General features: G+C 36.5%; 1 protein-coding gene across 19 annotated transcripts in view; it reads left to right on the plus strand.

Annotated features, from left to right (window-relative positions):
- The window catches only part of CDIN1 (CDAN1 interacting nuclease 1), a 230,619-nt gene that overhangs the window by 6,621 nt on the left and 200,832 nt on the right, over window positions 1–23,166 (plus strand). For 2 of the 19 annotated variants that reach the window (NM_032499.6, NM_001290232.2), the window contains exon 1: window positions 8,631–8,672. The exons of the other annotated variants lie outside the window; for them this stretch is intronic. The gene's annotated coding sequence lies outside the window, so the exon portion shown is untranslated. Of the gene's footprint in view, window positions 1–8,630; window positions 8,673–23,166 lie in introns of those variants that run through there. 19 annotated transcript variants of the gene reach the window in all.

Here is a 23,166-nt window from a genome sequence, read left to right on the forward strand (position 1 = left end):
TTTAATAAATACCTTGTGGGGATATACTTTGAGACTATGCAAATTTCTTGTTTCTCGTCACCCTTTTTCCCATTGATTTTAGCATCCATTGACTTTTTCATGAAGCAGTTATTACTGGTATTTGCTTAATAGTGATTCTCTATTTCTCTCACCAGAATATTCATTTAACCAGTGTCATCCACTGCCACCATTTTATGTGAAACGAACTACCCTACAATTAGCCCACGATTTTCATTGGTATTTGTAGAGTTTTTCACCACTTAATTAGCATGTGGTCTATAATAGTGTGCTCACTATGTTTGTGGCACTATTTGGGTATTAAAACAACAACAACAAACAGCAACAACAATAACAACAAAATAGCTGGGCACCTGTAGTCCTAGTTATTCAGGAGGCTGAGATGTGAGGATCACTTCAGCTCAGGGTTTTGAAGTTACAGTGCATTATAATTGTGCCTGTGAATAGCCACTGTACTCCAGCATGGGCAACATAGCTGTACTCCAGCATGGGCAACATATTTCTAAAAACAAAATAAAACAAAACAAAATAGGATAATGTAGTAACTAATTTTGGATAGCTTGTAGTCTGAGGAAACTAGTGTAAGACACATCCAATAGCTATGAAGTATTAGAATCATAGAATGTTAGAAGCCAAAGGATTCGTTGAATAGTTAGTTCAGATATGGTTAAGTAGCATTCTTAGGATTCAAATAAGTAGAATATACCTTGTTGGGAATTATTTTGCTAGTAGACCAAGCCCTCTGGCACAAGTTTAATTTTTCCTTGAGTTCCCTTACCATATATTGGTTATTTAGTCGCTGTACTAATGACTCAAACTCGTGATACCATAAATCGCTAAGCAAATAGATATCTGTATCATTTTGATATATCTTTGCCCTTAGAGATCCTGGCTTAGGTTTTTCTAATGGTGTTTTCCACATTTTGAAGCATGTTTTTTTTCTTTTTTTCTATCTTGGCCCATATCTCCTACTGTCTTCCTACTCTTGGATTATGACATAGGCAACCATTCACTCATATGAGGTGCTTTAAATTGCTGTTCCTAGTAAGATCTCAAAAGTAATAGGTAAAAACTTGTTTGAGTGGTCATCCTGTGCTTAAACCAATGTACTTAGTCATCTTCTTGAAATCTCACCTCTCTTTACCAGAAAATGAGTTGAAGCTGGCCATATTGTGTATTGTGCTGTGTACAGTGTTGAACTTAGTGGTTCTTGGTGGTGAACTTAGGAGTCCAATCTGGTAAGGAGTGGAGTAGCTAAAAAACTTGCTTGGGACAAGCACAGCAGTTTTACTTGGCTCTTATGCTTATTTGAGGTGGCTTGGTTTACTTGGTGCTGCCATTGGTTATGGTTGTCTTTTTTGAACAATCCCTCCCACCCCCAATAAATGATGCATTTAAGATGCCTGCTCTTTCCAGAGGGAGTCTCGTATTCCATTCTTCTTGCCTCCTATCACAGTTTCTTCCTGAGAAATGATAGAAATAAAAAGCTCTATCTCTTTTTATCTGAGTCACAGTTGTCTCATCTGTAAAAGGAGAGGTGAAGTCCGACGGCTAGGAAGTAGAGGAAGCAGGATATCAAACCCAAGTAAAGTCAGGCTCCAGAATCTCTTTCTCGCTCTGTTGTCTCTTCTTGATCAGTTCCTTAAGGCTGTGGTGACGGTGAAGTGAGATAAGGCATGTAAAACAGCGCAGTGTAGAGCTCTCCGTAAGTTTTTAATGAAAAGTAAATATGATTTTTGTTAGAAGGTAGTAGCTGATCTACAGTAGAAGAAATGTCTGAGCAGTAACCTTTTGAAACATAAAACACAATTTTGCTTTGAAACAAAGTGCAGTAGATTTACAGAAAATGAAAATGTTTATATGGAACAGTTGGTTGTATGGCTGAACATGTAAGATTTGATTATCAGTTGAATATTGTATCGTTAACAGAAACTTCTTTAAGTATTTCACAGTGATATATAATGGCATTTAAAAAAACCTTTTAAACCTAAATTCACTGATTTTTAAGAATTGAGGGAGCATTGCAATGCATAATTAATACCGTAGGGCTTGGTATACTTAATTGAAATACTATTCCTATTGGCCTTGTTTTTCTCAATTGAAATGAAAGTTGATTCTCAGTTTGTGGTCAATTTTCTACACTTCTGATAATTTTGTGGTGGACCTGAGTTCCAGAATAATAAGTGAGAATAGCTTAGAAAGAGAGAGAAAGGCTTTTATTGAACTGGAAATTCTACTGATGGTTTTGCCATAGAAATAGAATTAATTTACATGATCTTTAAAATTAATATTCATACACCCAGGAAGGATATCTAGGGTTATTTCTGTATTAATCATTGGACTAGGTAGGAATGTCTAAGAAAAGAGTATGATTATTTCATGTGTTTTCTTTAGTGATCTTTTACATTTTTTTCTGTATTATTATTATTATTTTTTTACTTTGTTGCTACATTGTAGCTTAGCTTTAAAGACTCTTCTGAAAGGTTATTATGTTAGTGTATGGCCCCTTCACTTTCTAAAAGAAGTGTTTAGCTTTTATTAGATATTTGTGCATCTTTGCATTGTGTAGCTGCGAAAGGGATATGAGCTTGAATTCTTCGCAGAGGAGTATTTGAAGAAAGCCTCAGATAATGTTATTCTAAGAAGAATCCACATGCTATAATTATATTTCTTATTAATTTGGGGGGAATTTTCATGTAATTAGAATATTGGCTTTATTTAAAAAATCTATATTCAGGCATCAAACTTTAGTTTACTAAGTAATAACCCTTACCAGAATGATTGCTTGTGCAATAAGGAGAAATTATATATTTCTCTAGGGGAAAAAAAGGTTCAATAGAAGTATAGTTTAATAATATTTTATTATTTAACTTTTGACAAAGTCGACTGAATTTGCCATTGTTTTTATTACACATTTTGTACAGTTTTGCCGTATTGGTTGAATTTTCCTTAGAAACAAAACAATCAATATATGCTTTACTAGATTAAATCTGAAAAGTGACCTTAATATATGAAGTCATGCTCTGGTATAAAGATCATATAGAAGATAGGTAAAGAGTAAATGCTTCTTTATTTTTAATTGTCTTTTTATTGAAGGGAGATGTTTTCAAATGTATACTTGAAGATGTTTCTCCTTTCTCCATTCTGCTGTCAAGTTGCTTAAACAGTGAGCTGTATATACAGTGAATACATTTAAGCTGCTAGGGTGAAACTCCTAACTGAATGACAGTTCTCCATTTCTTTTTTCTTTTTTTTTTTTGAGACGGAGTCTTGCTCTGCTTCCCAGGCTGGAGTGCAGTGGCGCCATCTCGGCTCACTGCAAGCTCCGCCTCCTGGGTTCACGCCATTCTCCTGCCTCAGCCTCCCGAGTAGCTGGGACTACAGGCGCCCGCCACCACGCCCGGCTAATTTTTGTATTTTTAGTAGAGACGGGGTTTCACCGTGTTAGCCAGGATGGTCTCGATCTCCTGACCTCGTGATCTGCCCGCCTCGGCCTCCCAAAGTGCTGGGATTACAGGCGTGAGCCACCGCTCCCGGCCAACAGTTCTCCATTTCTTAGGGGAACAGAACACAGCTAGATCCTGGATTGTTTGGTCGGTCCATGGGTTTGAAGCTAGAGTAGAACAATCTGTGACCCACGTATGAAAGATGGTACATGCTGATCACAAATCCAACCCTGTTCTAGCCACTTTGGGGAACTAATACCTGCTTCACCTTTTCTTTCCTCTCTTCCCGTCCCTACCCTTTCATGAAACATATAGTGAAGAGTCAGTAGTCCTTCTTCGTAAGCCAGAGCTTCCTTCATGCCAAGGAACAGTGACATGGCTTGTCACTTTCAAGTTACGTCTCTTGGCTGAAGGGTGATCTTTTCTATTCATTCTGGCTTCGTGACAGCAAGTAAAAGTTTGTTTGCTTTTTTTAACCTACTGTGGTGTTCAAACTGTGACCTCATAAATAGCTGGGATCTCATTGAGATAACAAGGGCTCTGCAATTTTTCATCCAAAGTAAAATGTTAAATTTTCTCAGGACCTATTTCTTTTATGTGTTTGAAATACTATGATTCAGTTGCTAAAAAATGTTTAAAGCTATTATACTTAAAGCAATAACTTCAAGACTATGAAAATAAATATTTTGAAACAAAGCAATTCGAGTAGAGGAAAAAAGTAAGGTAGATTCATATCTCTTAATATAGCTGTTCAATGAAATATGTAAGTACTTGGTCTTTCCCTGACCAAACACCGGCCCCTGCTAATTGAGGCAATTCTGTGCGAAGCCCAGTCTTTTTCTGAGGTTGTCCTGGGAGTAGTCGTCATATCCAAGACTAAGATTTAAAATACCTGGTATATCATCATTGCTCCCCACCCCCAACATATACTTATTTTTAATTATTTTCAGTCACTGTTAGTTAAGGCCTGTCATTTGTTCCAGGAACAAAAAAGGATGAGATATAAACTCTGAACTTGTGTTTATTCTGTTACATGAAATAGGAGGCATAGCAGACCATTGATATTTACAAGGTTTATCACTTAAGACTATTGAAAATCCCCAAGTTTGCAGTTAGCACTATATAGGATGGGAAAGGTCTACTAAGCTTTGGGATGCCGGTGTTGGCTAAGCTCACTTACCAGCAAACTGACTTGTGCATCCTCAGATCAGCCTAGTATGAATGATCCAGATTTATACTCAGCACATTTATGAATCAGTGTTTGTCATATATATTTATGATTATTCTCAGATAGAACTTTGTTTAATCTAGGAATGTTTTAGGATGAATAGAGATGCAGGGTGAAAATTTTGTGGTTGGACATTCATGCCTGTGGCACACCTTATCTTCCTGTGATTCTGTAGCTGATGACGTGGTTCTATAGGGCTCTTGTAAGTGGCTTCTCTTGTGGTTGAGATCTGGGAGGTGAAGAGTCATTTGAATGTGTCTTCTACATTACACATGAAGTTAGACTGGCACTTTTTAAAAAAAATTTGTTTCTGTCTACAGCTCTCTCAAGCTGATATCATCCTTTGCTTAAGGTATATTACACTGCTATTTGTTTTTGCTGATAATATTGGTAGGGAAAGCTAATAAAATTTGAAATTAACTTACACTTCGAGCCCCATTTAGCTAAGATGGTAAATGGACTGGGAATATGAGGCAGACTGTTCCTTGTATAACGTTAAAAAGCCCATAGACTCTTCCAGCCTGTATGTAACAGCCTGTATGTAACAAATAGCTGTTTCCTAATGGATGAAGTTAAAATTATCTAGATTCTCATTTTCTGAGGACAACTAAAATATATAAAGATAAAAATACATTTAACCTCAAGTTTATAACATGTTCAGTTTTTTATTTGCATGTTGGTGGGTGCACTTGGAACTCTCTACATGCAGATAGATCATAAAACATTGCTTGGGAGGGACCTGCATACCTCTCTTATTATTCAGATTCAGTGACTTATAAAGCAAGCCGGTGTTGGATCGAGATTGCAGTTAGAGATAATTTGGTCAAATCTGTTAATGTTGCAGATGCAGAGGGAGGAGTCCTACCCAGTGATTTGACCAAAGTTCCATATCTGGATGCAAAACTCTCCATTCATGCTTTTAAATTAGAGAACAGACTCCCATCCCTCTAGGGGCCAGGCAAGTATCAACAACAAGTGAATGAATGAAGCTGACCTGGTTGGTTTTGCAGCTAGGTGAAAGTACAGTTGTGTGTACCAACAAGGCAGTGGCCACTTTATGCCAGCCATCCAGTGCCATGCAGGAATGTGGGCCTGGTGCTGCCAGGCCTTCTACTCTTTAGAAAGCAGCTCTAGATCTGATTTTTTTTTTTAAGAAAAAATAAAATATCCTGAGTTTTAAATGTTGTCAATTTGTTTGAATTTTTAAAGCACTGTGTGGGCCAACATTTTCCTGGCCAAACAGAACAAGTCTGTGGGCTGAATTTGGCCTACAGCCAGTGGATGCTGGTGCTCTTTCCAGCTTGTGAGAGCTGATGGTGAGCATCTTTTCCAGACTCTACAAACCGCGACCTCACATTGGTAGCTTAAAATTCATCCACAGTAGGAGTATTTACACCACAGAAATTGGCAAATGGTACAACCTGGGCTTGCCCCTTCTCCAGCCCTACCACCCCTCACTACCAAAGGCAGTTGTTAAGCCTCACACACCACTGCATTCTATCGCCAGTCTGAGACTTTTGTACCTTATGGCTCCAAGGGATGTCTTTCATAGATGTTTTTACACCCCCTTTGTTCTGATTTTTGTAGCCTTTTTTCTGAAAGAGACTCACACTACTACCATGTGTAACTCGTTCATTCTTATAAGATTTTTGTCATTGTTGGGTTGTTGGGCTTTCTCCTTATGTTTCCCTTACTATAGTTAGCATGGGAGCTGGAATTATAGTCTTGGGCCTTAGGAGGAGTACCTAGTATATTGTAAGTATTATGGTACATTCATAATGGACATTTGATTGAACTTGCCTAAAGAATGCTGCTTGATTTTTTTTTTTAAAGCCATATATACATGTCTCATTTAGAAAAGTGAATCCTTTTTAAAATTGATTAATTAGCTAAGTTTAGGGACATTACAGTGATTCTTTCCTTTCTGTTGGAATTTAGAAATGCTCTAGTGGTACACCCGAGGGTTTATCATGTCAGAAATTATTTCTAGAAAAACTCAAGCTCAGATGTTACATTTTCATTTGGTAGTTATTCCAGTATAAAAACAGAGGGAAGATACCTAATTGGTAAGTTTCTTCAGTTTTTGGTGCCTTAGAGTCCTTATTTATAAAATGGAATTGTTATGAACTTGAAATAAGATAATACATATAAAATGATTAGCACGGTTCCTGATACTACACTGGTTGCTACTGCGGTTATATTATTGGAACCATTACTTAATCATGGTTGCTTGTTGCAGTGGTATTTATGGTTATGATAGTTAGACTCAGCATATTAGAACTGAAAATATTTTGCCTAAAACCACCCCTTTCCAAGTATTTTCTTGTCTACTTTTCTCAAATGCAACCACTCATATCTGGAAGCTGTTTTACTGTTTTGTCTCAACTTAGTAAGAAGGGGGTTATGCATTTATGAAAGATACTTGAGTGAGTACCAGGTTTAGAGTCAGGGTTTCTCTATCAGGTAGTAGCTTGACTCCAGTAAATATGTAAGTTCAGGTGTAAGTCTTCCAGGGCAAGGAGATTTTATAGGATACCCTAGATCATCACGTCAGTGTGAACATTGATTTAGTGTTCAATATAGGTATTAATCAAATTTGAAGAATGAAAGTTTTTATTTTGTTGTTATTATTATTGTTATTTTTTGAAATGGAGTCTCGCTCTCACTGAGGCTGGAGTGCAGTGGCGTGATCTCGGCTCACTGCAGACTCCACCTCCTGGGTTCACAGCATTCTCCTGCCTCAGCCTCCTGAGTAGCTGTGACTACAGGCGCCCGCCACCACGACCGGCTAATTTTTTTGTATTTTTGGTAGAGACAGGGTTTCACTGTGTTAGCCAGGATGGTCTCGATCTCCTGACCTTGTGATCTGCCTGCCTCGGCCTCCCAAAGTGCTGGGATTACAGGCTTGAGCCACCGCGCCTGGCTGAATGAGAGTTTTTAAAATGATCTGAAACCATTCATCATACTAACATACTGATTGTGAAAAGACCTTGTGGTAAACACAAAGAAGTTGCATAAACTCTTAAAAAGAATGGATTGATTATTCCTTAAGACTTTGGTTTTACTAATTACGATGTATTCTAGAATGGTGCCTTCAAAGTTTTCTTTTAATTTATCTTATTTTTGCAGTTCTGCTAATCACATAATTGTAATAGTAATGAATTGGGCAAGACAGTAATTTTTCTCCTTTAGTTTTCATTGTATCATAGAGCCTATCTTCCTCTAGGTTCTAGATCAAAGAGAGGGTTTCAGGTTTAGACCTACTTCAGTTAAACTGCTTAGGCCAGATTTGAATAAAAGTATTAAAACAGGTGAGATGTTTTTGCATTAAAAAAAATACCATTCAAAAATTTGAGTGACACTTTGAAAAAAAGTTGCCTATTCCCAAAGACTATGGAAGCAAAAGCATAATTATGCTATAGATTATATTTTAGGGACAATTATTTGCCATATAACTCTTCTGAAGCATGGAAACAAGACTTGGTTAGTTGTATTTCCTCTGTTAGAGGTGTGTAAGGAGTCTAGATTTGGTTCATAGTCATGAAAAATATTTTATTCATGTGATAGCTTTTTGGACGATTGTATTCTGCACTGTATTACAATGGCACAATAAATTGCTGAATATACTGTCTGCTGAATATGACTTTACCATGAAAAATTTGATGCATGGAGAAGGAAAGGTTGGAATATATCAACCTTTTCTGACAAGGGACTTTGAATTTTGACCTAATACAGATGACCTTTGTGCGCAATAAAAATGAGCTTAATCTTGAGGTTAAGGTTGAGGTGAATGGCAGGACAGTGTGGTGGAGCTTACACTGACTGGAGGTGTATTGGTGCCTATGTGGCTATTGGCTAAATGGGAGTCCGGCACTTAAAATTTTTTTTTTTTAGCATTTCAAGAAGCTTATTTATAGCAAGTTGTTTGGCTCTTTAATACCACCCCATTTCCTCAAAGCTCAGCTTTCTGTTTAGTTGTGGTAAGTTCATCTGTTTTTATGAAGTTTACTGTTTCTGAGTAAAAGGTATGACTGTGCTTTTATTTATTTTCTGTTCCATAGATAAGCTATAGAGAAAAAAATGTTCTTATGGCTTATGGAAAAGACAACTGACATATGTAACCTTGGAACTGAAAATAAATGTTCTTTTAAGAAGATTTTTTTCTTTGACAAGTTGAACTTTTGTCATCTAACTTTGGAACTGTCAGGAGAATTTTTAAGCAGTTTGTGCCTTTATCTAGATTATAATTAAGAGAATGTGTGGGAATTATTGTCTTGAAAGGCTTAGATGATTTACAGAATGGCTATTGCCTTGGAAGTTCCTTTGAAGTGCATTGGCTAATACACTTACATTATAATATAATATAATATAATATAATATAATATAATATAATATAATATAAAATAATATGATGATATAATGTATTTTTAAGGTTTTGCCCACTGTACCTAGAAGGAAAATTGTTTTAAAACATGAATTTCTCTATCAAATATTTTATTTTCAAATACCTCCACTGATTTGTCATAAAAGAAATTACACCTTAGTGAACATCAGGAAAAAACCTGCTCATGTTATAGTACCTGAACACCTATTGAATAGTCTGCCCTAATAATTGGTTGAAACAACAAATAGTTGAGGAGAGTGCCAGAGAGTCTAATGGAAAGAACTTCTACTCTTTTAATCGAGCCTGCAAAATATATTCCCTGGGACTGATCAGCTCTGAAGCACTGAGGTTTGATGATTGGAATGGCAGGAAACCATGCTTTCAGGACATAACGAATTGACGAGGCCATCCATCATTTGTTAGCATACGCTGAAAACGTGGGCTATGTGTGCAGAGGCCTGTGATTTAGTAAATACTTGGGAGATGAATAGAGCTTACACACAAGGGAAGATATTGCTGTCCTTCAGCAGCCTGAGACCCAGGCGCCTGCTGAGAAGGCCATCTGACGGCATATCATCAGTAACTGGCCTGTCACAGTCAGCGGTGCCCACCGACCATTGCCAGTATATTAAATGCATTTTTAATATCTGCTTCAGTAGATTTAATGAAGAAAATTTAGTTTCCATACTCCGAGCACTGCTTCCTCAAGTATTCTAAAGAATGAACTCCTTGCCTACACAAAAAAGAGGGAAGACCATGCTGGCAGCTAGGAGAGTTGATTGAAAAGGAAACTCAAACAAAATAATTGCTAACAAAAAATATATTTAGTAGAGTCAGTATCTTGTTGATGTGAAAAAAAAAAGCTCATTTTTTTTTTTTAAAGAAGTTTTGGATTAAATTTTTAGCCCCTAATTCCCTTTTCTCACAAGCCCTCTCCCTAGGAGGATTCGACCTGCTGGCAAAGGAATATAAACCTACTGCTCTGAAAGGAAATATTAGAGGGGGAATATTATGGTTTGGCATAATTTGCCAAATTTATGGATAGAAAGACTCCATTTTAAATTACTTTGTGTTTTGGTATACTACTGTTGATTCTTAGGATTTTTGCATGAAGATATAAAGTGGAGTTTTTCTTAGTTACTTCCAAATTTTTGAATATTGAACTTTACTTGTAAACTTATTAATTAAGGTAGTAATTTTTGCCTGGTATGCAGAACAGTTCAAAATGAATGTAAAAAAAATTAGTTGCCAACTTGATATAAAGTGCTCTTATGTATTTCTTATGCTGTAATGTTTCTTTAAAAATTATAATTTTTAAATGTTCTATTTTCAAATTCAGGCAAAGTGTGTAGATTCATTCTTTTAAATGAGTTTCAATGCTGACATTATTTACTACAAAACAGCAAGACAACCAATTAGATGTAGTTGCAAACATGCACTATAAACCCCTCTTTAAAAAAAACAAAAAACAAAAAACAACAACAACAAAAAAAACCCAGAATATGCTCTCATGTTCACAGAAGAAGAAGCTACAGAATGGGACCTATAAATCTGATTCCTGCATGTGTCAAAACAGTAATGTATTAAATGCATATTATTATAAAAATTTAAGACATGTCTTAAACACACTTACATTTTTATAACACGTGGCAATATTAAATAATACCTTTCCTTGTTAGCATCTGTTTGCCGTCATTGTTGGCAAGACCTATGATTTATTGCTTAAATTAATGACCAAGACCATTTTGGACCTGATATATGCCCCTAAGCTTATTACATCACTAAATAAAATAAAATGTATGTGCCTATGACAGAGTTATTTTTATAATTGTTTATCCCTTTAAGTGCCCTATTCGGTGATTCACTGAAAGGTTCATAATGGTTGGCTTGTAACCAGAAAATAATCTCAGAAAGGTAAAATACATTGCTTGTTTGGAAATAAAATGCCAGAGTGATGGTGATGATAGGGGTCCCAGCAAGAATTTGCAATGCTCAAACTCTTTCTTTTCTCAATGCTCTCAGTGACCTCTTACTGAATTTTTTGATACACAACCTCTCTACCACCATCCCAACTCTTAAAGCTATCTGTTAATGCTGGCACTCACTTTCATATAAACCCTGCATTATGGCTAAAGTGGTTTTTTGCTCAGACATAAAGCTGTAAGGGTTAAATTATTCTGTACTTAGGATTTTCCAGGTACCATTATCACCATGCATTAAACTGAGCAAGATTATTTTCCTATTTTTCGTTCTTTTCTTTTGGGAGATTGGAACTTTACTATTTTTTATATTGAACTGTATTTGACTTCATCGTCTTTATCTTTCCTTTCTGACGGTGCAGTATGATAGAACCTTCAGTATTTTTACAATAACCTGTTATTCATCTAAAGTCACTCTGCTGCCTGACTTGCAATACAATATTATATGGCTTTGTGGTTTCTTTGCTCCACATGAAGTATCTCATTGACTGTCAGTTCTCCTGTCATCTGATGGTAAGGTCAAGTTTTTGAGAAGCTGATGCCTTGCTTCTGGATTGTAGTATCTACACCTTGAAACATATGGAGCTTCTTTGGGAACCTGAGAGTGTTTTTTGTGAGAAGATTATTATTTTGTAGATATTTGGGAACAATTCTCATTTATTTTATCACTCATAAATGGACGTAAAACTTATTATGATTATTCTTTTGAGACCGGGTCTCACTCTGTTGCCCAGGCTGGAATGCAGTGGTGCAATGTCAGCTCACTGCAGCCTCGACCTCCTGGGCTCAGGTGATCCTTACACCTCACGCTCCCAAGTAGTTGGGACTACAGGCGTGTGCCACCACAACTGGCTAATTTTTTGTATTTTTAGTAGAGACGGGGTTTTGCTATGTTGCCCAGTCTGCTCTTGAACTCCTGTACTCAAACCATCCACCCACCTCCGCCTCCCAAAGTGCCTGGATTACAGGTGTGAGCCACCACACCTGACCTGACTTAGTTATTATTAGTTATTAGTTATTGTCTTCATTTCACTTTTACTACATTTTAAACAAAATAGTCCATTGGAAACAAAAGGTTTTTTGCTTAGTATTCTTTCCTAAGGCAGTTGATACAATAAAGTTTTTAATCGTTCTCCCAGACATGATCAGGCCAACATGCATTCATGTTTTTTTTTGAAAAGCCCTATTGACCTTGCCTTTTGAGGCTCTCAGCTCCTCTCCCATTGCTGATCTTTTTACCATCCTTTTCATTTCATTTTCCTTGTCCTGGAGACCTGCCCCCAGATAAAACATTTTAGGAGAAAAGTGATGAAAAAGAATCTGAAGTGTGAAGAATCTCAAGTGCCACGTCTAATCTATTTCCCTCCCTTCCTCCCTTTCTATTTTCCTCTCTCCTTCCTTCTGTCCGTCCCTCCCTTTTCCACCCTCTCCTTTTCTGCCCTTCCTTTCCTCATCTGTCCATCCCCCATCTTTTTTTTTGGTCTCTTGAATATTAGCTTTAGTGAGTTTTTTTGTTTGTTTGTTTGTTTTTTTGTTTGTTTTGCTTTGGCCATGGTAGTTACTTTTACCTGTTCATTTGGAATGTATACATTTCTTTCTTTTGCTTTCTATTTGAATTAATTGTGAGATCCTTTGGATGGGAGCTGTGTGCTTTGCTGTAATTTGATCTTCCAGCTGTACGCTGTATTGCCTAGCATTGTAGTGTTCTTTTATGCATTCAGTGAATTCTTGCTAACTTTCTGATGTGGGCCTGTGCTTATTTTTATGATCTCTTTTGAGGAGACAGCGACTTTGAAGCATACTTGCTTTTTTTTTTTTTTTGGGAGGGGAGCAGTACTGTTCTAACTAGTACCCTGCAAAGGACTTACTATTCTTTCCTGAAATTGTTACTTAAGCTCCCACTCTCTGGGCCAAGATATTTAAGTCCTATTTAAAAATATTAAAATATTCAGTAGGCAGCTAAGTGCTTAGTCTACTGTTCTACTTAACACTAAATGAAAGTAAAATATAACACAGACATGGAGCCATTTGTTATATTTTAGTATATGAAGCAATGGCTGTGTAAACCTTAACCTTGTAATTTTGTGAGTTCCACTTTATCATGTAGCTGTAAGGGTAATCAAAATAAATCACAGGAGGTGAATAAATATTTTCTAGTGCTTTCTCAGTGCTTTAAGAAGTGATGCTTGATCCATGAAATTTTAGTAAGTGTATTAAATAAAACAATATGATGTGCACTGTGTCAGATCTGATAAATTATTCGGTATAGGACATTTATACAACATATGTTGAGCTGCTACGTGAACAGCTTAATGACTAAATTATGTTAATCTGTCTTGCCATCTTTATATTTTGTTAAAAATTGCACTATTTGTATTATAGATATTTATATATTTGTGGGTTGGGGCAGGGATAAGAAGAAGGCATAAGAAAGGTGCAGGTCAGCTCCACGATGTTCTGACAGTGATCCAGGGCTCCTCAGCTGTGCAGTGTACATAACACAGATGTTGGGGAGTCATCTGTCAGCCATGCCTCTCCTATGGAGTTAAAGTTCTAGAGGGAAAAGAATTTGACACAGTGCTGTCACTGTTACATTTTCACAATAGAAGAGCATGCAAATATTGAACCTCCTGCTTAGCAATAGTGCCCTGTCTAATGTCTGTGCTGGTTAGAATAAAAAATCATGGGTGCATCTTGGGCTCAGAGATCTGACAAAGGTCATGCTATGTTGGGCATTTGAATTGGAAATTGTCTGGACTTAGATTTTATAAAGCTCCCACTGTTGTGTGTGGGGAGAATTTCAGCAGGGTTTTGTCCCTGGAGAGGCCTCTTAGGCCCTTTTCTGTCCTATGAATGAATTTAGATGTGAGGGTTACTCCTGCCTTAAAACTGTTAAGTTCATTTTGCATACATCCCTAGAGAGAAAAACTGGCAGATGCTTTTGTCTTGGAAGTGTTTAAAAGAAAACTGCAGAGCAGGAACAAGGGAGAAAAGGGGCCCTGTGTGGAGTCCCAGAACATTTTGGAAATGGCCAATATGCAGTTTTCATCAGTATGAAGGCGGGGTGCAATATGGTGCCTGTAGTTCACGAGGGAATATGAATGTTGATTAAGCATACTCCCAGGCTTTGAAATTCTGAAAGCAGTGTCAGAATAATGGATGTTGAGCAAATGTCAAGCATTTGTTAATTTCTCTGTTATTTGGAGTTTATCTACCATGATCAATCAAATAAACTAGTGCTTCTCTCTTGTGGCATGTGTCATTGATATGGTGATTAGGTGGCTAGAGAGACCTTCTGCTTTTTTTCCAGGTAACAGATTATAAACGAGTAGACAGAGCTTTTCAGTTAAAGATTTGTTTATGGCTTGGTTTAGTAGAAATTTGTATATTAACTGAATACTTTGGTGGCAGTGTGAAAATCCGTGGCCACATGTCAAAGACATAAATTCTGGGACCATTTATACCAGGAGAACTAGTATTGGAGGCATGTTTTCCATCAAAGTATAGTTTTCAGTAGTTTATGAAACTTTGATGTAAAACTGGACAAAAGAAATGGATCCTAGATGAATGCTAACCTTAACATTTGTAGATAGACTTTTCAATCCATTTTTATGTCATTTTTCCTATTTCAATGGTTAATTCTAAGTTAGTGATTGACTTTTATTCGTGAGTGAGAGTAAATTTGTTTCATGTGATTCAACATAATTTCTATTATTTTTAGGAAGTAATGCTACAGTGTTTTGATGTCCCAAGTAGGGGTATCAAAAAAAAAAAAGTAAAAGGTTCCTTTCAGAGTTTACTTAACTGTGGATTATTGTGCAGTGCTAACATTCTGCAGTGTGAGGAGTTGGTTCCCTTTTAGAATGTGAATGACTTTACCAACTGGGATTTCATTAGGGGTTGAGACTAGGTACGATGTGTAACTGTCCTACCCTTCAGCACGGGGTAACTTGGACTGAAAAGGGACCTTTATGTGAAATTTTAGTGGCTGGAATCAAGGTAGATTTGTGATTGGAGATTTGTCCTTTTTCTATACCCCATTTTCTTTTCGTAGTCTTAGGCTTGTAGCTTACATGATTCAGATGGAGACTAGTGTAATACTTACCACCCTTGACCATGTCCAACAGGTACCTCTGTGGTCTTTGGCATGGATATTTTTGCAAAACGACCTACTGAGGTGATCTGTCACCTATTATTAAACCTCATGAACTTGTTTTTTCAGGGGATTCACAACTGAGCAGCCACAGGGCATTGTAAAACCCCAGTGAACTAACTACTTGTGTGATTTCTGGAGCTCTTTGGTTTTCTCAGTCTGCCATGAGGTCACAAATATGGCAGTTTCCAAAGCAGAACATTTTTAGCTTCCTCTTCAAGCTAAGCTGCTTTATCTTAACTGTCTACATTAGACCTTTGCTTTTGGCCTTCTCTGGGACTGGAATTCCTAACCGTATGAGTAAAATCCTCGTGTCCTGCCTGGCACACAGTGCTAGTGAGCTCTACCATTGTACTGCCTCCAGCATCATAAAAATAGACAGCAGTGCTGATTGACTTTTCTGGGCTGCTCTCTGAAAATTCGTCATGAACCTGACACGATCATAGCATCACTGAATCATTAACTTGCACCATACACCAAAACACTCAGGGTTTTATCGATAGCAGCTCTCAATTTTTTTTTGTATTCATAGTGATAAAGCTACTATTATTCCTAATTGGGATTAGGAAGACATGAAAAATCTTGTTAGGGTGTTGAAAAATTATTATGTAACAGTAAGAGGGAAAGAGTTTGAATTTCACTTACTGTGAATTCTTAAGCGTATGTGCTCAGCGTGAACGCTTCCAGCCACTCCAGTGGAAGGGGCTGATGGTTTTGGTTGGTGGTGTGCCCTGTGCCTGCCAGGCTATCAGCGCCTGCATCTTGTCTTCTACTTAACTCTTCTAATGTCCTCCAATAACCAAACTTTTATTTTCCCTCACATGTATTGCAACTATAAATTAATGGCTCACAGTTTTAAAAGTGCTATAATGAATACTATTTCCTACTGCGGACACATTGTAATGATAGCAAAAACACTTTTGGGACTTCTCTTTTGGCAAGTATTTTTGGAGTGTGTGACACAGTGTCTTTGGTACTTTTGAGAATGGAGACAAAAGGCATTATTAAGTTTGAAAAATAAGGGGGCTGATGTTACTAGGTGACCATAAATTCTAGAGACATAATTATTTTGCCATGTGTTATAATTCAATAACAATAAATCCTTTATTGTATTTATCTGTGTTTCTAGACGTGGTGGCCACCCTGTATTTTGGTGAGATGTGAGATGTGACTGTGAAGTTGGTTTTCTTGTGTAACTGGTAAAGTGGTTCTAAAGTGATTCTTAAAGATAAGTTGGGCTGGGCGCAGTGGCTCACGCCTGTAATCCCAGCACTTTGGGAGGCCGAGGCGGGCAGATCACGAGGTCAGGAGATCGAGGCTCGAGCCATCCTAGCTAACACGGTGAAACCCCGTCTCTACTAAAAAAAAATATATATACAAAAAATGAGCCAGGCGTGGTGGCAGGCACCTGTAGTCCCAGCTACTTGGGAGGCTTAGGCAGGAGAACGGCGTGAATGCGGGAGGCAGAGCTTGCAGTGAGCCGAGATCATGCCTCTGCACTCCAGCCTGGGTGACAGAGACTCCGTCTCAAAAAAAAAAAAAGGTAAGTTGTGTTTTTGAGCCATGGCAGCATCATTGGTGCTAAATATACAAATCACACTCCTCTGGGATTATTACTTTGGCCAAAGATAATGTGAGTAAATTAGCTCCTTCTTTTAGCTGAAAAAGTTTATTTTGTTACTTTATCCTTGTACTTAGTAAGTGCAGACTCTCCTTCCTTAACTATTAGCCCTTATTTTATGCCCACCTTTTCTCTGTGCTCCCCAAATGTAGACTGACTACTCAGAAGCTAAAGACACATTCCCTTTAACTAACCTGTTTCCGTTACCCGTCTCTCTGGTGGTTGTTTATAAGGCAGGCTTCTTAGAGGAAGAAGAAAAGTAAAGGGTTAGATAATCTAACTAGGCAGTTAATCCTTGAAAACCAGAGTGGTAGCTCAATTTAGGATTTTCAGTTACATTTTAAAGCATTTCTTATTTGCTTAGAAAGGGAGACTATAGTAATTTTTGAATTTTATCCTATAGCTTACAAAGCATTTTCATAAAACTTTCTCCTTTTTCTGGTGGTAGTGATGGAGGGGGTTGGAGATACTTCTTTAGGCCTCTATTTGGGATAGGGTTTGAAATAGGATGAAACTTATTTGCTATTTATTTTTATTTTCTTCCTGTGTTTCTTTCTGTATCATATAAGCTCCTACTCTCCTATTATATCATTGAAACTCATGCTTTTTATCAGAATAAAGAGGTAAAATTCTTCCTTGTCTTTGGAAGGGACTTATACTTACTGTAGAGTTGGAGGAATCACTACAAAAGGCTGAGTAAAACAGAGAACCCTGAAAAAAGAGTTATTGTCCATTTATTTAGCACAGTTTCTGTGGTAGGGAGGCAACATTAAACATTATTTTAAAAACTGCATTTGTGAGATATTAATAGATGCCTTGGTTTGCTGCAAATTGGTTAAACTTTTTTTTTGGTAATATTTAAATCATAGAGATAGGACTTTTAGTAACTAAGTGTAGGTAAACACTATTTCATGATCAGTAATTATATATCTGGTTTTAAAGCTGTTTCAACAAAATGTTATTGGAAGACAGATTTTCTGCTACAGATGTTAAAACCTTTGGAATATGTGGGGCTGAAAGGACCAGTTCGGGTGTGATCTTAAAATTGGGCAGCTTGCCTTCTGCTTCAATGCTTGGTTCCACCCTGAAGAGGGGAGTTACACACCACTATGTGCACTTGACACATGCAAATGCTAAATTCAGTAGCAGCATGAGGTCTCTGTCATTAACAGTAATTTATGTAATGAAAGCCACCTGGCTTTTTTTTTTTTATAATTAATTGCTTGTAAATAATAAATTTAAGTGTAATTTATGGTTTTCTAAATTTGATTACCATGTAGACCCAACAGCAAACCCAAAAAAATTATCAATTCCATAATGTTCTTCTATGACTTTTAAAAGGTACACACACACACACACACACACACACACACACACACACATTTTAGAGTAAACATCAGATGAAAATACTTTTGGGGAGCAATAAGAATGTAATCAACTCCTGTTGGTTTTATTCAAGTTGGAATGCTAATTTTGAAATAGTCTCATTAAGTTTTATATTATTATGTCAGCTGACCTTTTAAAAGTATTTACACATATAGTTAGTACACTCAGAAGAAAGTATACCTACTTAACAGTAATATAGTAAAACTCCTTTAAAAAAAGCTTTTTCCCTATTTTGTAAAATTCCAATTATGTTTTCAAAAGAATTTATATATGAAGAAAAAGCACCTAAGCATATATGATGATATTTAACATATTGTGGTGATAATAAGAGGCTCTTTGCCTAATAGATTTACCAAGCACAATATCTTAGTTTAAAATGGCTTTACGGTAGTTCTTTTTGTTTATGTGGTCACATATATCAGCTGCCAAAGAATTGTGTTTTCTGACATAGAAAATATCTAAGATTCACATGGTTTAAAGAGAAAGGGGGATTTAGACCCTTGTCCTCTGTGCTTCTCTTTCATTAAAAAAGAAAGGAAAGACGGAAGTAAGGAAGGACATAATTTATGGCTTTATGTTTAAGATTTAACTACTGTTTAATGATGATTATATCAGACTTTCTCAAACTTTGAATCTGATTTCTTAAATTCATACCTCTTTCCTAGATGCATTTCTTTTAAATATCTATATTATTATTTTGTACTATAGCCGTGAAATCACTATCATTGTCAGTGTGTATAATACTTTTGTAAAGGATTAACAGATTAAAGGAGAATTTGAGTAGCTTTGACCTACAAATTTATAAACTGCAAAGACTTTTCTCCATATGTGACTAGCAGCATTTTTACTTCACCATGATTTAATAAAGTTTATATAAATCAATAATGCTGTTTTTGTAACTTGTATTTTTTTTTTAATCTGGAATTCTCTCTGTTCTTTGTAGAAACTCAACTAGATTATGAAAAAGTTAGTTCTGTTAAATAGCAAAATTGCATGTTGACTCCTTGCAAGATTGAGAGAGTCAAGTGAGGAGGTTTCCGCGTTAGCTGGAATTGTCTATAAAGAATAAAAATTTTGGCTTCTGTGTGTAGTCAGAGTGTGACCACCATCCATCACCTCAATAGCAGACATCAGATTTGTTCATCACTTGGTTTCCAAGGTCTAATAATCCCTCAAGAATTTAGAGTGTTGTTGACTGTCCCCATTTACATCAGTGAAGGCTTTGCAACAGGTGCAGCTGTGTATACTAATTGCAGGGTGTGCCTAATCTGTCCAGAAGGGAGAGTACCTCCAAATTTGGTATCTTAAAGAGTGGAGTGACCTTTTAAAGTCCCAGAATGAGAATTGCCAACAATTCCAACAGGCTAATTATACCCACAAGGAGTTGTGAAGTGCTTTTAAGTTTTCCTGTACACCTAAAAGTTCAGTGAACGGCTTGAAGTCATTAACATATGACAGATGCACTCCCTTTTCAAGAGCTTGTATGATAAGTTTTGATTGTAGAAGTGGGAATTTGACCTCTAGCTTATCACTTGCTTCATTAGCGTGCTTGAGGACAAGGAGTTTTTTTTTTGTTTTTTGTTTTGACGTGAGTGTTATCTTACTCATGTTCCAGAATTCTATCTGCCTCCTTCTCTCTGCTGATCTGAAGTCACAGTAGATAACCTTGATGCTGGTTTTTTAAAAGCATCACGCATTGTGTAGTGTTACATATATTTTATATATAAATATATACACTATGAATATGTTTCTGAGCATGGGTCTTTCAAAGTTTTGATTCATTATTTTAGATATACTACCTCCCATGTGATTTCTGTTCTTTTTCATGGAAAAGGAAGAAATACACTTTTTGGCTCATAAAGATGACTGAAAGTCCGACTTCTACATTTCCACAAACTGACCACTTCTTGAAGTGAATGAGAATAAGGGAATGAAGTTTGGGACTCTGCACACACATGGAGGAAAGTATGCTACCCAAAGAATGAACGAATGCTAGAGGTGTACCCATAAAGAGATGCGGAAATGAAGCTTAGAAGGATTTCATGTGGTAAACTCTGTGACTGCAGCACTTAAATGAAATTGCTTTTTATTATCTGGTTGAAAAATCATCCAAAATAAGCCATACAGGACAAAGGCTAAAAAGCTTCTGGGTAAAAGCAGTCTTGGATAATTTAATTTTCTCCCACAGCAGTTCTGTATTTACCTGCTTATGATGTCTGTTTCAATTCCTTAAAAGACTGTATACCTAAACTTTATTTTAAAATGTTTTCTGTTAAATTAAAATCCTCTGTTTATAGAAGTCACTATTCCCTTAACCTCTAAGGGGGTTATGTAAATTTTATATTCCCTAAGGGCACAGTCATATTTAGCTGTGTTCCTGTCAATTACCAGCAAGCTCTTTTTGTACAATTAGGGGGTGGTTAATTTACTCTAGTAAGGTTGCCACCTGTCTAGGGATTAACCCAAACAGGTTGGAAGTCACAGAGAGACTTTTGAATTGAGGTTTAAAGCAGTAGGAGTTGATTTATTAACTCTCTACTACCATTTTGGTGGCATTTTCTGGGTTGATCAGTGGTACTTGTGACAGAAGGTGTTTTCTTGGTCCCTACGTTTGTGAGGTTGGAAAAGTACATTGTTAAAATTTTAAGTGTCACTGGAAATCTGTGAACAGTAGGTGTAATCATGCCTGGTACCCATGAAAATGAACTGGAAAGATCTTCCACTCCTCTCCATTGTTTCCAGTCTTATAATATCTTATCAAATTGTTGGATCAGTGGGAAGTGGCATCCTTAAATAATGTGGATAGTTTGAAGACTAGGATTGTGTTCAATGGAAATAACATCTTATCTGGTGTGTCAGGAAAATAAAACATGAAGAACATTGATGATATAGTTCACAGGAGAATACGAGGAGGTAATTTTACAGTATTTAAAATAAGCTGTGAGAAATACCCAATTTATTAGTTTAAAGAAACATGCCTTAAGTTTTCTGATACAATATGTAAAATATAATAGCTTACTTCATATGATCTAATATGCATTCCATCTGGAGTCTTGTTCCACTAGAAGTGTGCCCGCGATCATGACTGACTTCTTTGAGATCTGTGTGTGTGTCTCTTTCCCTCCCTCCCTTCCTCCCTCTTAACTTCCTTTTATTCCTTCTTCTGTCTTTCCTTCATTCCAGTTTAAAATTAAGTGTATTGTACGTTATATAAGTATTCTTTTTTCAATTATAACCTGTTATGGATATGCAATTCACATACTGCAACATTCACCCTTTTTAAGTGTACAATTCAGTGACTTTTAGTATATTCACAAACTTGGGCATCCATCACCATTATCTAATTACAGAATATTTTACGACCCCAAAAAGAAACCCAGTACCCATCAGGCATGGCTCCCCATTCTCACACTGGCTCAGTTCAGTCCTAGGCGATCACTAATCTACTAGATGTTTCTACCGATTTGCCTATCTGGACATTTTGTATAATGGATATTATACAATACGACTAGCTTTAACGTAGCGTAATGTTTTTGGGATTCATTCGTGTTGTCTCATTCTTTCTTATTGCTGAAAAATCCATTGTAGGAATATACTACCTTTTGTTTATCCTTTTATTAGTTTGTAGACATTTGGTTGTTTCCCTTTTTGGGCTATTATGATTAAATGCTTCTATGAACATTAATGTATAAATTTTTGTGTTGGCCTATGTTTTTGTTTCTCTTGGATAGATACCTTGGAGCAGAATTTCTGGGTCATATGGTTTAACATTTTGAGGAACCATAAAACTAGTTTTCAAAGTGGCTGCATCATTTTACGTTTCTCCATAGGAATGTATGAGGGTTTTAATTTCTCAGAATCATCAATAACACTTGTGTATTGTGTCCTTTTGATTATATTCCTGGTGGGTATGAAGTGGTATCTCACTGTGGTTTTGATTTCTATTTCCTCAGTGACTAATGATGTTGGGAATCTTTTTATGTGTTTATTGGCTGTTTGTATATTTTCTTTGAAGAAATGTCTATCTACATTCTTTGTTCATTTTCTAATTGGTTTGTCATTTTATTATTGAGCTGTAAGAGTTATTTACATATTCTAGATACAAGCCTTATATACGTGATTTGCAAGTATTTTTTTCTAGTCTGTTGGTTCTCTTTTTTATTTTATTTATGGTGTCCTTGAGTTATTCTTTTTTAAGGATCTTACTTCCAGAAGGAAGGTACAGAAGATAAATATAGAGATATCTGTAACCTTTCTATGAGGAGAATTTTATCACTCTTTAGTGAAGTTCTTATTGTTCAATACACTATTTTAGTAAAAGTTGTTTTTCTTTAAACAGTATGTTAAATTAAAAAAAAACTTGGCAAGCAATCTCCTGAATCTCCTGAATATAACTTTAAAAGTTAGGCATGCTTTTAATTTTTTCCCTTTTCGCTTTGCCTTTTAAAGTTATACACAAATATATATATTTAAAGTTTTACACAAATCTCTGTGTGTGTGTATGTATGTGTGTATATAGATAGATAGATAGATAGATAGATAGATAGATAGATAGATAATTTTTTAAGTCAGAGTCTTGGGCTCTGTCGCCTAGGCTGGAGTGCAGTGACATGATCATGGCTCACTGCAGCCTCAACCTCACACGCTCCGGTGATGCTTCTGCCTCAGCCTCCTGAGTAGCCTGGGACCACAGGTGTGCAACCACTATGCCTGGCCTAGTTTTTAAAATTATTTTTATGGATGGGGGTCTCCCTTTGTTATCCAGGCTGGTCATAAACTCCTGTTCTCAAGGGATCCTCCTACCTTGGCCTCCCAAAGTTTTGGGATTATAGGCGTGAGCCACCGCACCTGGCCTATTATATCTTGATCATATCATCTAAGTTGACAATTTGATAGGGGTGATGTTAGTAAAGTGCTAAAAATAAAAACTTGTATAAACCAGTAAAAATGT

Source organism: Homo sapiens, chromosome 15 (assembly GCF_000001405.40).
Source record: "Homo sapiens chromosome 15, GRCh38.p14 Primary Assembly".
NCBI lineage: Eukaryota > Metazoa > Chordata > Mammalia > Primates > Hominidae > Homo > Homo sapiens.